The sequence below is a fragment of the Homo sapiens genome, chromosome 1 (genome assembly GCF_000001405.40).
Source record: "Homo sapiens chromosome 1, GRCh38.p14 Primary Assembly".
NCBI classification, from domain to species: Eukaryota; Metazoa; Chordata; class Mammalia; order Primates; family Hominidae; genus Homo; species Homo sapiens.
In genome coordinates, this window is record NC_000001.11 from 42,538,219 (window position 1) to 42,554,322 (window position 16,104).

A 16,104-nucleotide genomic window follows, 5' to 3' on the forward strand; every position below is an offset into this window, starting at 1 on the left:
ACACAGGAGGCTAAGGTGGGAGGATCACTTGAGCCCAGGAGGTCAAGGCTTCAGTGAGCTGTGATCGCACCACTGCACTCCAGTGTGGGTGACAGAGGGAGACCCTGTCTCAAAAAAGAAAAAAAAAAGAGAAAGAGAAAAAAACATCAGAGGATTAAAGAAAACCCTGGTTAATTAAGTCACTGAATATAATTAAATAAGCATAATTTGTAGTTAGGAACACAGAGTTTAAGCTGTCCATCATGGCACCCTTATAGTACCAGGTACTTGGGAGGCTGAGACAGGAGGATGGTTTGAGCCCAGGAGTTGAGGACTATAGTTCACCATGATCACACCTGTAAATAGCTACTGCACTCTAGCCTGGGCAACATAGCGAGACCGCATCAATATAAATAAATAAATTTTTTTTAAAAAACCACAGAGTTTAAAGTCAGACAGATTTATGGATTTGGAATCTCAGCTTTATACTTCCTGGCTATGTGAATTTAGGCAGGTCACTTAAGATCTCTGAGCCTTACTTTCAGCAATTCCCTTATAAAGTTGTCAGAACATTAAAGGTAAACCACATAGCACTTTGTTCTATAAATGGTACTTCTAAAAAGATACATCTTAGAAACAGATAATATAACTATTGATAGTCATTGCAAGCATTGCCAAAGAATTTACCTGTATATAAGCCTTGCTTAATGTAGGAAGGACTCTAGAAACTAAATCTTTCAACCTGTGAATGATAGAAACTAAGAATGCTCAGTTTATTTAATTGATTTAATTGATTTAGGTAAACTTTGTTTTAACTACTAAGAAAGGCATCGGTCTGCCAGAAGGATAGGTTGGAATATTTAAAACAAAAAATTTGTCAGGACCATTTCAAGATTCATTCTTAAAAATATTATATCTTTTATGGGGGAAAATAGTCTTATTTTATTCTACTAAATGTCTTCATTTCTTAATCAGGAATTGCAAAAATCAAAGTCAGAGCTTATATGCCTTTATAATGAAGTTCACAATCTTCCAGGGGAATCAGAAAGCAAAGACCATTTTTTAATAGCATGTGACCTGTTACAAAGAGAGAATTCTGAATTAGAAACAAAGGTGAGACTGAGTTAGGTATTTAAATGTTCAATATTTAATGTAGCTTTTATGAGGATAGGTTAAAAGGAAATTAATTTTAAGCAACAGATGATTTGGGAATTGGAGTTTCTTCTATTATTATAGCATAAATTGCCATATACTGCCATATACTGTGGATTATGAGTCAAGCTATATGTCAAGATAAATATTCAGACTTCAACCAGCACTTGGCAATTAGGATTAATCTGCAAATTTTTTTACTTTAAATCAGCTTCCCACCAACTTAATTTTTGGAGTACATATTATAATGTAAAATATTTATTTAAATGTCTTCAATTTAAAAATTTAGGATCAAAGCATCTTTCTATAATGTAAAAGATTTATTTAAATGTCTTCAATTTAAAAATTTAGGACCAAAGCGTCTTTCTCAGTTACACTGAAAATTGGGCTTAGAATTAGGAAAATGTTCAAATGTCCTGATTCAAGCTTGTTCCTTAAGTTTAAAAATGGCTTCCAGGGAGCCTAAGTTTAAAAATGTGCCCAGGAGTTAGAGGCTGTAGTGTGCTGTGATTGTGCCTGTGAATAGCCACTGCATTTCAGCCTGGGCAGCACAGTGAGACCCCATCTCTAAAAAAAAAAAAAAAGAAAAGGCTACCTGGCCAGGGCAAAGGATTCCCATCTAGTCCAATACTAGACTGAAAGGTTGCCTGTATAATTTCTAGAGTCCCACCTATTAGGTTATCACTATCTCCTCCTGGCTGAAAATTCCTTTCCTCGATCACTCTTTTGACCTAGACTAAAGATTAAGGAGCAAAGTCTTGAATACAGCAGTTAAAATATATTAGGCTATATTTTAACACCATATGTAAGGTGAGTAACTAAATCAAAGCCTAATTTAACCTATGTGTAGTTATCCCAGAAAATCAGGAGCAGGTTGCTGAGGGATTGGGACATAGATCAGATAGCATGTGACATGGGAGGGAAAGGTCCAGAACATAGGGTTTGCTGCCTGGGAGAGTAGCTATGTAGAGCATAATATACAACTAAGCCTTTTTTGTGGGACCTTGTCAGCAAGGTAAGTTATCATCACGTTGTACAGTTAAAGGGCCAGGCCTTTTAAAATATCATTGAAAAAGTTAACAACAGATGAGCTGAAATGAGAAGAATATAATATAAAATAAAGAGATCCAGATCTGCTCTTCTGGTAATCTGGGTCTCCTTTTTTCTTAAACTTTTTATGTTGAAATAATATCAGACTCACAGAAAAAATTATGAAAGTACAAAGACTTCCCATATACTTTCACTCTTCCAAATGTTAACATGGTATCGTGTTTACCTTATCATTGTCTCTCTTTCCCTCTACACACACACACACACACATACACATACACACACACACACACAGTTTTTTATAAACTCTTTGAGAGTAAGTTGGAGACATAATCTCCTTTACCCTTAAATATTTCCATGTGGGTTTACTAAAAACAATAACATCTCCTATTACCACAGTACAAGTCTCAAAATCAGGAAATTGACATTGACACAATACCATTATCTAATCTATAGCTCGTATTCAGATTTTATTCTGATTCCCCTCTATAGCAAGAGAATAACTTTTTTCCTAGTCTGAGATCCAACCCAGGATCATACATTGCATTTAATTGTCATGTCTCTATAGCTCCTTCAATCTGCAAAAGTTCCTCAGTCTGTCTTTGTCTTTTATGATTTTGATATTTTCGAAGAGTACTGTCTCAGTCAGTTTGGGCTGCTATAACATAATACAATAGACTGGGTAGATTAAACAACAAATATTTATTTCTCTCAGTTCTAGAGGCTGGGAAATCAAAGATCAAGATGTTGGCATATCTGGCATATTCAGTGTCTGGTGAGGGCATTCTTCCTGATTTGCAGACAGCTATCTTCTCATTGTATCTTCACATGGCCAACAGCAAAGAGAGAGAGAGAGTGCAAGCTTTTTCCTGTCTCTTCTCAAAAGGGCACTACTACAATCATGAGGGCTGCACCCTTGTGCATTAGTTACTTGCCAATGTGTCCTCCTAATACCATCCCATTGAGGGTAAGGCTTTCAACATATGAACTTTGAGTCAACACAAACATGCAGTGCATAACAAGACCATTGATTTTGAAGAATGTCTCTTAATTTGGATTTGTCTGATGTTTTCTCACGATGTAATTCAGATTACCCACACTACAGAGATAATGTTGTATCCTTCTCAGTGTATTTTATCAGGAGACATGACATTTTTGTTCTATTCCTCATGATATTAACTTGGATCATTTGGTTAAGGTACTGTCTGCTAGATTTCTACACTACAAAGTTATTACTTTTGCCTTTGCAATAGATACATATCTTGTGGGGAGATACTTTGAGACTATGTGTTATGTTTCCCATCAAACTTTTACTCATTAAAAGTTTCTGTTTTGAATCTTTGATTTTTAAGTTATATTCTAGTTTTTCTTCAGAATATAGAGTGCTTTAGACTTAAAGATAGTCTTGCTAAAGAAGCTGTATGTATTTGCTGAAGCCCACATTTTACAGGCTGTCATTTTTGTTTGGGTTACAACATCTAGACTCATACAGAATTTTAGAGCTGAAATGAGTATGATCATGTAGACCAACTCCTTCAGTTTACACATAAGAACACCAAGGCCCAGGGATATTAGACTGCTGCCAAGTTACATGGTGATTCTCAGCCTATGCTCTTTCTACCCTAGCCTAAGGCCTCAATCAGAAAGTGGAACCATAAGCTTAATTCTTATGCTACTTAAACATGGCTGATTATTAAACTGAGCTATATCACTAAGATACAATTTTGGTAGGAAGAAGTCTGTGGAACAGAGTTGGTCCTGTTCCACAATAGCCATGTCATGGAGGGTCTGATGGCTTTAACTTTCTTTGTTATAAAGAATAAAGCTTCTACTCACTTAAGATATACACTACTTTGTCATGTGAGAATTCAGAATACCTAGAAAATGCTTTGTGTTAGTGTCACCATCCTTTGCAGAAACCCTCAGCAGCTTTCAGTTTGCTATAACGTCAAATCTAAACTCCACTGTTTTATCCTTTTTTTTTCTGAGATGAGGTCTCTCTATCACCCAGATTGGAATGCAGCGGCAAGATCATAGCTCACCTCCCCCTCCTGGCCTCAGGTGATTGTCCTGCCTCAGCCTCCCAAGGAGCTGAGACCACAGGCACATGGCACCACACCTGGCTAATTTTAAATTTTTCTTTTTTTTTTTTTTTTTTTTTTGAGACGGAGTCTCGCTCTGTCGCCCAGGCCGGACTGCGGACTGCAGTGGCGCAATCTCGGCTCACTGCAAGCTCCGCTTCCCGGGTTCACGCCATTCTCCTGCCTCAGCCTCCCGAGTAGCTGGGACTACAGGCGCCCGCCACCGCGCCCGGCTAATTTTTTTTTGTATTTTTAGTAGAGACGGGGTTTCACCTTGTTAGCCAGGATGGTCTCGATCTCCTGACCTCATGATCCACCCGCCTCGGCCTCCCAAAGTGCTGGGATTACAGGCGTGAGCCACCGCGCCCGGCCTAAATTTTTCTTTAATAAAGACAGGGTCTCCCTATTTTGCCAGGCTGCCTTTCTTTACTACTTAAGTGACTAACATTTATTATCTGTAATGTTTACATTTTTACAATGACCACAAAGATTAGTGATTAAGTAGCATTTTGGAATATTTTTTCCTGCTTACAAAAATAATGCAAGCTCATTAATAAAATTGTCTTTTACGTTCCTTTATAATCTGACCTCTCCCTTCAATCTTGCCTTATTCCTTCTGAGTAGCTGGGACTACAGGCACCTGCCACCACGCCCAGCTAATTTTTTGTATTTTTAGTAGAGACGGGATTTCACTATGTTGGCCAGGCTGGTCTTGAACTCCTGACCTCATGATCTGCCCACCTCAGCCTCCCAAAGTGCTGGGATTACAGGTGTGAGCCACCACAACTGGCCTTCTTTTTTTTTTTTTCCCCTCCTTCCCTCCCTCCCTTCCTTCCTACCTTGCTTTCTTTTCTTTCTTTCTCACTCAGTTGTCTTTCTCACTCACGCTGGAGTGCTGTGGCACGATCTTGGCTCATTGCAATCTCCACCTCACAGGTTCAAGTGATTTTCATGCCTCAGCCATCCGAGTAACTGGGGTTGCAGCATGTACCACCACACCTGGCTAATTTTTCTATTTTTAGTAGAGATGGGGATTCACCATGTTGGCCAGGCTGGTCTCAAACTCCGGCAATCTTGCCTTATTTCTGCAGCTCCTTACTTTGTAGCCTCTATTCCAATGAAATCATCCTCCTTACTTTCCCCCAAATTACTCTATACTCAGTTCTATGTCAGTGCCTTTGGCCATATTGCTCCCCATGCTTAAAATGTGCTATTTGTAGTCTCTTCTCTTATCTATATCTTCCCAACTTGAAAGGACTAGTTCAAGACCAACCTTCTCCCCTAGAAAGGTTATAGTCCATATGAGATTTTATGGATTTTATGAGATTATAGTCCATTTTACACACTGTAGTTTCTCTTCAGAGAATTGAAAAGGCATAGGAAACCAAAGGGATCTCTTAAAGTAAACTTAAATTGATCTTTATAATTAAGTCCATTGTGTTCTTAGAATCAAACATGTAGAAGCTTTGCATTTTCAGACAGGCTCAGGATATGAATCAGGCAGGCTATTGTCTACCTTAGCACAATACTTTGATGGGGATCCATTTTCCTTTCTTATTTTTTATTCCATTCTATTTGTTTGTTTATTTGGGTACAGACACGGGGTCTTGCTATGTTGCTTAGGCTGGACTCAAACTCCTGGCCTCAAGCAGTCCTCCCACCTCAGCCTCCCAAAGTGCTAGGATTACAGGCATGAGCCACTGCGCCTAGCCCATCTTCCTTTCTTAGAATCATTCCCCACCCATCCTTTCTACTCCCTGAAGGAAATGTTTTTTCATTTTATATGAAGATATAGAGTAACCTTTCAGGAAAGGAAATCTTTAGAATCTGTTTGTCAAAACAAAACAAAAAGACTGAGCAAATGGTTTGCCAAATCACAAAAGGCAGTGATTCTCAAAGCATCTACTTACAGAATTACATGGGAGGCTTATTTAAAGTACAGATTTCCATTTCCGCCCCCAGACCACTGATAGTGAGTCTTACTCAGGGTAGGGGCTACAATATAAGATTGCATTTTCTTTAACAAATATTTTATTTTTTATTTTTATTTTTGAGACAGGGTCTCACTCTGTCATATAGGCTGGAGTGCGGTGGCCTGATCTCGGCTCATTGCAATCTCCACCTCCCAGGCTCAAGCCATTTTTCCATCTCAGCCTGCTGAGTAGCTGGGCCTACAGGTGCACACCACCATGCCCAGCTAATTTTTCATAGAGACAGGATCTTTCCATGTTGCCCAGGCTGGTCTTGAACTCCTGGACTCAAGCAATCTGCCTGCCTTGGCCTCCCAAAGTGCTGGGATTACAGATGTGAGCCATTGCACCCGGCCAAGACTGCGCTTTTAATAAATTCTTCAGCTGATGCTTTTATATCATAGTGGTTTGAGAACCACTATGGAAGAAAGTTCTTCTCTGTAAGATATATCTAATATTCTTATAGATATAGAAGATATCTCCGTAAGATATATCTAATATTCTTTCTAATGTTTTCTGGCAGCAATATATTTTTGTTTTTATTATATATTATTGCTTTTATGAATCAATGAAGTACATTCAAAACTTGAAAACAAAAATGTGTGGTGATCATGTAAAACTCTGTAGATCACATATTTGTGCTTGTTAAAAGGTATAACCAAATGCTAAACAGCACTCTGAGAACCCAACCCCAGAGTCCAAAAATACCTTTAAAAAAAAAAAAAAAAAAAAAAAAAAGGGAATTTACATACCCTTATGCCTATGGTAAAAAAAAAATCGATTAAGTAATATAACAACTGCAAAGTATTAAATTAAGTTGGAATCAGCCTTCAATTAGGATGTCATTTTATATTATATAAGCCAATAGTTAAGCATTTAATGAAATCAGTATACTTTTTTTCACAGCTATAAATAAAAGTATGCAAAATAGAATATTTGTCTTTCACTTAATTTTGCAGGTCTTGAAGCTTTCACAAGAATTTGCACAATTAAATCATTTTACTCTAGGGGGAAAAACTGCACCTTCTAATTTAATTACAAGTGAAAATACCTGTAAAGATCCTGAATCTAATGAACCAATTTTGGAAACAGAAATTCAAAGCCGAAAGGAAGAGACAGAGGAACTCTGGTAAATTGGGAAAATCCTATATCACATTAATTATTCAGAGAGGGTATATTTTATTTGGCTTGATCATTATAAGAATTTGACATTCGGCTGGGTGCAGTGGCTTAAGTCTGTAATCCCAGCACTTCGGGAGACTGAGGCAGGCAGATCGCTTGAGCTCAGGAGTTTGAGACCAGCCTGGGCAACATGGCAAACCCCATCTCTACAAAAAACAAAAATTAGCCTGGCATGATGATGTGTGTCTGCAGTCCCACCTACTCGGGAGGCTGAGGTGGGAAGATTGCTTGAGCGTGGGAGGTGGAGGTTGTAGTGCGCCATGATTGTGTCACTGCACTGCAGCCTGGGCAACAGAGCTAGACCCTGTTTCAAAATTAATAATAATAATAATAATAATTTAATATTCATTTCCAAATTATGTGAGTGGAAAAATTAGTTATAAGCATTCTCCAAAAAGTTCGTCTTTTGATATATTATTACATTTTAAAACTTTTTTCCTGCTTTCAAACAACGAATGTATGCGGCCTGTTACATATGCACAGTTGCTCATGCCTGTAATCCCAGCACTTTGGGAGGCCAAGGCGGGCGGATCACCTGAGGCCAAGAGTTCGAGATCAGCATGACCAACATGGAGAAACCCCATCTCTACTAAAAATACAAAATTAGCTGGGCGTGGTGGTGCATGACTGTAATCCCAGCTACTCGGGAGGCTGAGGCAGGAGAATCACTTGAACCCAGAAGGTGGAGGTTGCGGTGAGCCGAGATCACGCCATTGCACTCCAGCCTGGGCAACAAGAGTGAAATTCTGTCTCAAAAAAAAAAAAAAATATATATATATATATATATATATATATATATATATATATATAGTATTCTAATAAAAGGATATATATATATCCTTTTATTAGAAGACTTAGAAAGCATGCAAAAGTATAAGGAAATTATAACAACCCTTAATTCTCACCAGGGAAAGATGTTAAGATGTTAACATCCTAATTTGTCTTTCTTTTTTCTATATACATACACATATATGTATATTTTTACATAATTATGACTATACTCTGCAGAGTTTGTTTTTTGCTGTCTCTATTTTACATTGCAAATGATAATTTTTTGACCACTTTTCTCTTATTTATCTATCTATCTGTCTATCTATCTATCTATCTTGTTAATTTTGCCCTCTAAAGGTACTTCTACTTTTCTAACCAAAAGTATCTTTCACAGAAACGTGAGGCTTTGGCAAGTGCACTACTCTTCCTGGGCACATAAGTTAATAGTTGCAATCAAATTTTGTCTGGGAAAAAGTCTAGAACTAAATAATCAAAAGGAAACAATGATGTCAATTTTGACATATACCATACTAAAGGATACATTCATCAATGAAGTGAGAAAATATAGTCTAGATGTAGACAAAGTTATATCTTTGTAAATGTTCTAAAGATAGAAGGAGATTATTTTGCGAGTTTGGGGCTCCTAAATATTATGCCCTCTTAAAAGTTGCTTTAACTTTAGAGTAAGCTTTGAGTCCAAGATTCACAATTATGAAACCTAGTTGCAGATGTGGGAGAGCATCTTGGAGTGACGATGGGGAAGGGGTATGATAATGGTCACAAAAACAGAGAGCCAAGAAGCAACATCACAGCATTTAGGTTTGCTGTAGGGAAAGAGAAAGTCTAGTTCTTGAGCACTGGAACAGTGTCTTACAGGATTTTTGAGGAAGATTGTTCTAGTATCTCTTTATTAGATAAAATGGAGATGGAAGATAGACCAATTAATCTATATATGAGTGATAGATGAAGAGATGGTTGCCTACATTGAGTAAGTGGCAATGAAGATGAAATGGTCAATCTGAAAGTTCTTCAAAAAGGAGCTGACATAAATAATCAAATCTGACAAAAGTCCACCCAGGTGATTTTGGGTAATTGGCAGGGATACTTGCCGTGGGGAGCAAGGATGTGGCTTTAATTCATCTAGGGGTGGGAAACCTTGCCATAAGAAAGATAATGGCCTTCCCTCTTAAGAGCTCCTTGATGCCACCTGTTTCCAGGACTTGGTCCAATCTGCTTCCCATAACTGGGACTCTGAAAAGTCTAGGTATCTGCCATCTGCCTCCTTCTCCTTTTTTTCTCATAATGTTTTCCTACTTGTTTATCTCCTATTCCCCTCTTCACAGCCTCCCCTCATCATGGGTCCATAACACAACCACATTTGGCAAGACATTGTGTATCTACCATGTGTCAGGCACTGTAGGGAGGTACCGAAGATGTAAAATAAGACACAGTTTCTTATCCTTATGGTCCACATAGTCTGATGGAGAAAAATGGTTAAACAAGGCAGTACTGAGTACTATGGGAACACAAAGCATGGGCTCTGGCCCAGGCTAATGAATCAAAAAATATTCTTAAAGGAAGTCTGAGTAATCAGGGGCCAAGCAAAAAGATGGGAGAATAATTTTCAGGGGAGATATGGCATGTTCAAGAGAAAGCATGGTTTGTTTGAGGCCCTAAAAGTGACCTCTATGCTGCTATAGCATGGAGTGTGAAGAGAGGAAATGGGGAACAGGATGATGAGAATGAAGAGGCAGGCAGAGGCCTGATCATGAAGGGACACGAAGACCTGTATTAGGGAGTTTGGACAGTGGGAAACTACTACAGTGTTTGGTAGCGTGGAGGATACTAGAACAGGCTAGAGAAGCTGAATTTATTTGGCTCATCTGTCTTTGAGAATAGATGATATTCTTTAGTAATATTCAGCAGTTTAGTATAGGCAAGAGAAGACAGTTGGATTTATCCAGGGTTGGGGTTTTGCCATGTGAGTGCAGTGGAAAGACAATGGGGTAAGAGAGTTGACCATTTTATTTAGACAGTGATTGAAATAATGAACTCTAAACTCTATATTGGATTTGGAAGCAAGTAAAACAAGGGCTTTTTATCAGTAAAATGGATAGAAAAATAGACAAGGAATTGCAGATACTATGATTGCCTTGGGACCAAGTTATATAAAAAGGAAAAGCTGGAATGCAATATTTAATTTTAATATTTCAGAAGTGAAATAGTTGCTGCTGCTGACAACTCATGACATGGTCATGCAATTAGTTGACAAAATAGGAGAGATGAGAAGGTAATTGGAGAGAAGGAGATGGAAGAAGCGATGCCAAGGCATTCATGGGTGGTCTCTATGGGACTTGCAATCTTCCAGTATGATGGCAGGACTTGGGGTGAAGAAGGTGACAGAAAGCCATGAGCCAGAGTCTTCAATTGAAGTGAAGTAGCAAGTGGTACAGCATACCTAGCATGGGCACATGCACACAGAAGCTGCTTATAAGCCAAGTTGATTGATTGATCCTTACAGTACATCTCTTCTACTAGATTTTAAGCTCCTTTAAGGTATTAAGGTAATGGGCCGTGTCTTGTTTTTCTGTTTATAGTTCTTTTGTCATAGAGTAACGGACTCTTAGAACTGGAAGGACCTTCAGGAGATCTTCCAACTTAGCAGTTTTCAAACTTCTACTTCCCAAAACTTTAGGAATTCTGCAGAGGGGCCTCAGAAATTACCTTGTAAGATGAGGAAGGACTGATGAGCGGGACCATTGAGCCCTCCATTCCCATTTCACCCAGAGAAGCTCCACTTTTATGTTTCATATATTGGGTTTTGTGTAAGATTTTTAATTCAATAAAGGGTCCACAGCTAAAATAAGTTTGAAAACCACTGATATTTAGCTAAGTCTTCTTTTTTCACAAATGAGGTCTCTGAGACCAAGAAAACTGAAATGACTATTTCATTCACAATCACATACACAGCAAGCTACCAGCAGGACTGGGATGAGGACCCAAGTCTCCTAACGCTGAGTCACGAGAAGTACTACTTTATCTGCTTTGGAGAAGATGTAGTCACAAATATCGCAAGGGCAAGAAGGTCTTGGGACACTTGGGTTCTAGGTCACTTTCTCAGAAAATGAGCTTTATGGTGCTGAAAAATCGCTTAGGGCACAGTCTCTCTATATGTATAACATGAGAGGTAGGGTGGGAGGAACTCTTCTAAGCCCAGACTCTCTTGTTCTTGACTATGTCTCCAGTGTCTAGAACAATGCCAGACACATAGTAGGTACTCACAAAATATTTGAGTAAATGAAAATTTCCCCCTACTCCTACTGTGTACAATGGGTATACAATTGCACTATCTTGCAACTGAATCCGAAGTTGGAATTCCAATAGCAGCCCCAAGCTTATAGAGCCCAGCTGATCTCAGCCTGTCCTTGTTTTATTAGGAAGCTTGGGCCAGAACAGCCAGTGGCTTCCTTGACCTTAATGAGCTTTGTTCTTTCCAACACACTCTCATTCACTATTTCATTGCATCGTTTCTACCTTTATCAAGGGTTGTTTGATAAGTGTTCAAGTCCATTTTAATTTCAAGTTCAACTTGATGTTGACTTTCTGTCTCCTTCACAGACTACCAATGTATTTTTCATCCTCCTCCAAACTATTTCTTCCCCAGTCCAATCTGTTCAGTGAATAGCCCCTCCATTCACACATTGATCAAGCCAAAACCTAGGAGTCACCTTTGATTCTTCCCCACATCTGTTCCACCAACACATCCTGTCACTTCTACCATGAAAACATAAAATATTGAATCTGTTCACTTCTATCTATATTTCCACTGTTGCTACCCTACTCCATAGCACTGATATCACTCATCAGGACTGTTACATATCTTCCTAATTGTCCTCCCTGCTTCCATACCCTCCTCCCAATCCATTCTCCATGGAGTAGCCAAATGGTCTTTTCTAAATGCAAATCGAATAATATTGTTCTCTCTCTTAAAACCCTCTCCATGGCTTCCTATTGCACTTAAAATCTAAACCATTACCATGACCCATAAGGCCCTCCATGACTTGGCCTCTACCTACCTCCTCCTCATCTTGCTGCCTTTTAGATCCTCCAACTTTTAAAGGACTTTCCTGCTTCAGGACCTTTGCACTAAAAGGTTCCCCTGTTCAGAATAGTCCTCCCCCAGCTTTTCATGTGGCTAACTCCTTCTCAGAGTGGTAATTCCTAACTGCCATGTCTAGGCAAATTATAACTCCTACTTTCCAAATACTTTACCATGTCACCTTGTTTGTGACTTATCATAGTTGGTAATTATCTTATTTGTTTGTGTGTTTGTTTCTTGTCCTCCTCTAGATGTAGGCTATGTGAGGGCACAGACCTGGCTGTGTTGATCACTTATTTGAATCCTTAGTATGTGGAGTAGTGCTTGTCATATAGTTGATATTCAACATATATTTGACAAATAAATGACTGAATCTTTTTCTTCCTCTGTGGGAACAAAGTTTCATCGTTAGCCACCCCTATTCTGTTCTACTAGGCTTTAATTCACTTTAATGATATCTTTTTTATTTTTTATTCATTTTTTATTATACTTTAAGTTCTAGGGTACATGTGCACAATGTGCTGGTTTGTTACATATGTATACATGTGCCATGTTGGTGTGCTGCCTTGCAGGTTTTCAAAATGCCTTTACATTTTACTTCAAAAATCCCAAAAAGCTTATGAGAAAGGAAAGACCACCTTGCAAATGAAGAGATTGAGACTCTGAGTGATTGTGCCTTGTAGAAGGTTACGTAAATAGTAGGTGGAAGATACAGGACTAGCACTCATGGTTTCTACTGTACTGTGCTCTTTCTTGAATCTGTATATGTTTGAGACTGCTGTGCATGTATGCTACTAGAAAAGGAATAGGACAGGGTTGCTGCCTAGATACCTCCCACCAGTTGAAGACTGGTGACAATTGCAGAAGTATTGCATGATGTAAAAAAGCAGAAGCTGGGGGAAGGGAGGTGTTTCAATAAGAACTAGGTAATAAATCCTTTCAGTTAAAAATTAAGAACTACAACAGGAGGAAGCAAAAATTTGAGAGTCATGGTGGGTTTTCCGGTTTTTAAGATGCAGACGTGCTGGCTATAGGACATGTTCTCAACTCCATATAATTTTTGGCTGATAGTCTGCTTTTGCCCACACAACTTTAATGCAATACATAATATTATTATTATGTGAACATAATAATAAAGTAATACATACTATTAGGTATTACTTTTAAAAATCTGTTCAGCCTTCCTTTGGTTTCTAAGTATACACATTTTCTCTTATACCTTTTGAAAGGATAAATTCTGGTGTGTGTGTGTGTGTGTGTGTGTGTGTGTGTGACTGGAACTTGCTGTGTCATCCAGGTTGGAGTGCAGTGGTGCCATCACAGCTCACTACAACATCGACCTTCTGGGCTCAAGTGATCCTCCCACCTCAGCCTCCTGAGTAGTTGGGACCACAGGCACATAGGTACATGCCACCACATCCAGCTAATTTTTAAAATTTTTTTGTAGAGACGGAGGTTTCCCTATGTTGCCCAGGCTGGTCTCGAACTCCTGGGCTCAAGTGATCCTCCCACTTTGGCCTCCCAAAGTGCTGGGATTACAAGCATGAGCCACTGTACCTAGCCAAATTCTGTTCTTTTGGGGGAGCATTTATTTTCATGGATTCTTGTCCTGATGTATCAATATCACTTAAATATTAAATCCCTGTATTCCCAGGTATTGCTAGTTCTCCTTAATTTACTAATTAACTGATTCATGTGAATGCAATTTATTTATCCAGCCCATTAATAAAAATGTAAAATGGCATTAGCCCAGAATTGTATCCTGGAGAGCACTGCTCATTCCTTCCAAGTCAGGGAAAACTCCTTGACCGCCATGCTCTGAATGTGGCTGTACAGGCACATCTCATGGACCCACCAAAGAGGAGGGACACTTAAACCTTGTCTTTAAACTATGGAAACATAACAAAGGCCACTTCTGTTCTTCTATGGCCATTATGTATTTACAGAAGGAAATTAAATTGGTCTGGTTAAGTCTGGTCTTTATAAAGTCATTCATCCTTCTTAATGTGACAAATGAGACACCTTCATATATATTAAATTTAAAGCACCAATTCATGGATTTTCCATTTTTTAAATGGAAAAATATACTTTAAATGGAAAAATTTTAAAAAAAATTATTTTGAGGTAATTGCAGGAGGAAGGGTTCCTTATTACAGCTGGTGAGGATGGGAATTCCTTTTCTCCAGTAGCCTCCACTTACAGCACATGGCTGAGAAGGGGAGGAGTGACTTGTGACTTCTCTCCCCGGGGCCGCCACTGATACCACAAGGCAGGTGGGTGGGGGTGGCTTATTGTGCTAGGTGGTGGCCTCCTCTGACACCGCCCCAGTGGAAAGGGAGAAGTGTGCCTCCTCCCTTCCAGGTGGGTTGGAATTCTAAACTCACCACCTGGTCTCCCCTCACACTGCAGGGTAGGGGAGCTCTTTATTATTCGGCAGGGATAAAAGTCCCTTATCCCTACTTGGCCTTCTCTGACACCACCCCAGTCAGGGAATTGGAATCCCTTATTACAGCCTGGTGAGGGTGGAAATCTAGGCTCCCAATTTGGGCTTTGCTGGCATAAGTGGAGGTGAAGGCACAGTTTTTTCTGTGACGTTCAGCTGGAGTAGGTAGGTGTCCAAAATTGTGTTTCTTCCTTGGCCTTTTCTGGTGCTTTGGCTAAAGATGGCAGACTTTTGTTTGGACTTTTTTGTTTTTTTTTTGTTGTTGTTTTTGTTTGTGCTTGTTGACATTGTCTGGGTTGCTGTCTTCTTCAGCTACAACTCAGGGATCTGTGAGGCAAAAAGAACACCCAGGAAACTCACAGCCATGTCGTTCCTTGGGTCTTGAGTTCCCTAGCTGGTCTGCCTTCTTCTTTCCACCTTTCAAAGTCTTTTAATGTTTGTTTTATATATAATGTTCAGAGTTTTTAGTTGTACTTAATGGTAAAAATAGGGGGAAAGTGTGTCTACTCCATCTTCTTCGAAGAAAAAGTCCATTTTCTCCATTTAAAAAAAAAATATGAAACTACTGGATGCAGTGGCTTACACCTGTAATCCCAGCAACTCAGGAGGCTGAGGCAGGAGGATTGTTTGAGCCCAGGAGTTCAAGGCTGCAGTGAGCTATGATCGCCCCACTGCACTCTAGCCTGGGTGACAAGGTGAGATTCCATACACACACACACACACACACACACACACACACACACACACGGTATACATTTGCATTTTCCCAGTCTTAATGTGTGTCTAGCTTCCACTGGATATAAGAAAAGGAAAGGGATTTATAAATGATGGAAAATTTCATTGTTGTTTTATAAAAATTTTTAAAGGCATTTTACCCTTTATCTCATACTGTTTTGCATCATTTGAATATATTATCTTTTAAAAACTGCTAAATTCAAAATAAAATATTTATTTTTTATAGTATTAGAGGAATTTTAAAAGGAATAAAACACTCCCTAGACACAATTTTTCTCCCTGTTCCTTTCCAGCTTTTTCTAGACATTTTCCCATAGTATATATATATATGTATGTATGTGTGTACACACGTTAATACATACATGTTTATTTGTTTTTGCGCCACAATTTTACTTTGATAAGTAGTTTTCATGTTTATGAATAGTCTTGAGGTCACTTTTAAGTTGAAGCATCTTTAATTCTCTTAGCCATTTCCATATCTCTATTTAGTATGAGCATTATTGTACAGTCATCTTTTTTCTTCTTATGGATTATTTTATTGCAGTAAACTCATTCATATGCAATTATTCAAAGATTATGGACATTTTATGGCTTCTTTTTTTTTTTTTTTTTGTGGAGACAGAGTTTCCCTCTGTCATCCAG

At 38.8% G+C, this 16,104-nt stretch overlaps 1 protein-coding gene across 11 annotated transcripts in view; it reads left to right on the plus strand.

The window, feature by feature from the left end:
* The window catches only part of CCDC30 (coiled-coil domain containing 30), a 201,084-nt gene that overhangs the window by 82,112 nt on the left and 102,868 nt on the right, over positions 1-16,104 (plus strand). For 2 of the 11 annotated variants that reach the window (NM_001395517.1, NM_001080850.4), the window contains 2 exons: positions 955-1,092; positions 7,192-7,361. The exons of 7 other annotated variants lie outside the window; for them this stretch is intronic. In NM_001395517.1, coding sequence (NP_001382446.1) covers positions 955-1,092; positions 7,192-7,361 — 308 coding nt within the window. The remainder of the gene's footprint in view (positions 1-954; positions 1,093-7,191; positions 7,362-16,104) is intronic. 2 more of the 11 variants (NM_001355224.2, NM_001355227.2) reach the window with 1 other exon arrangement.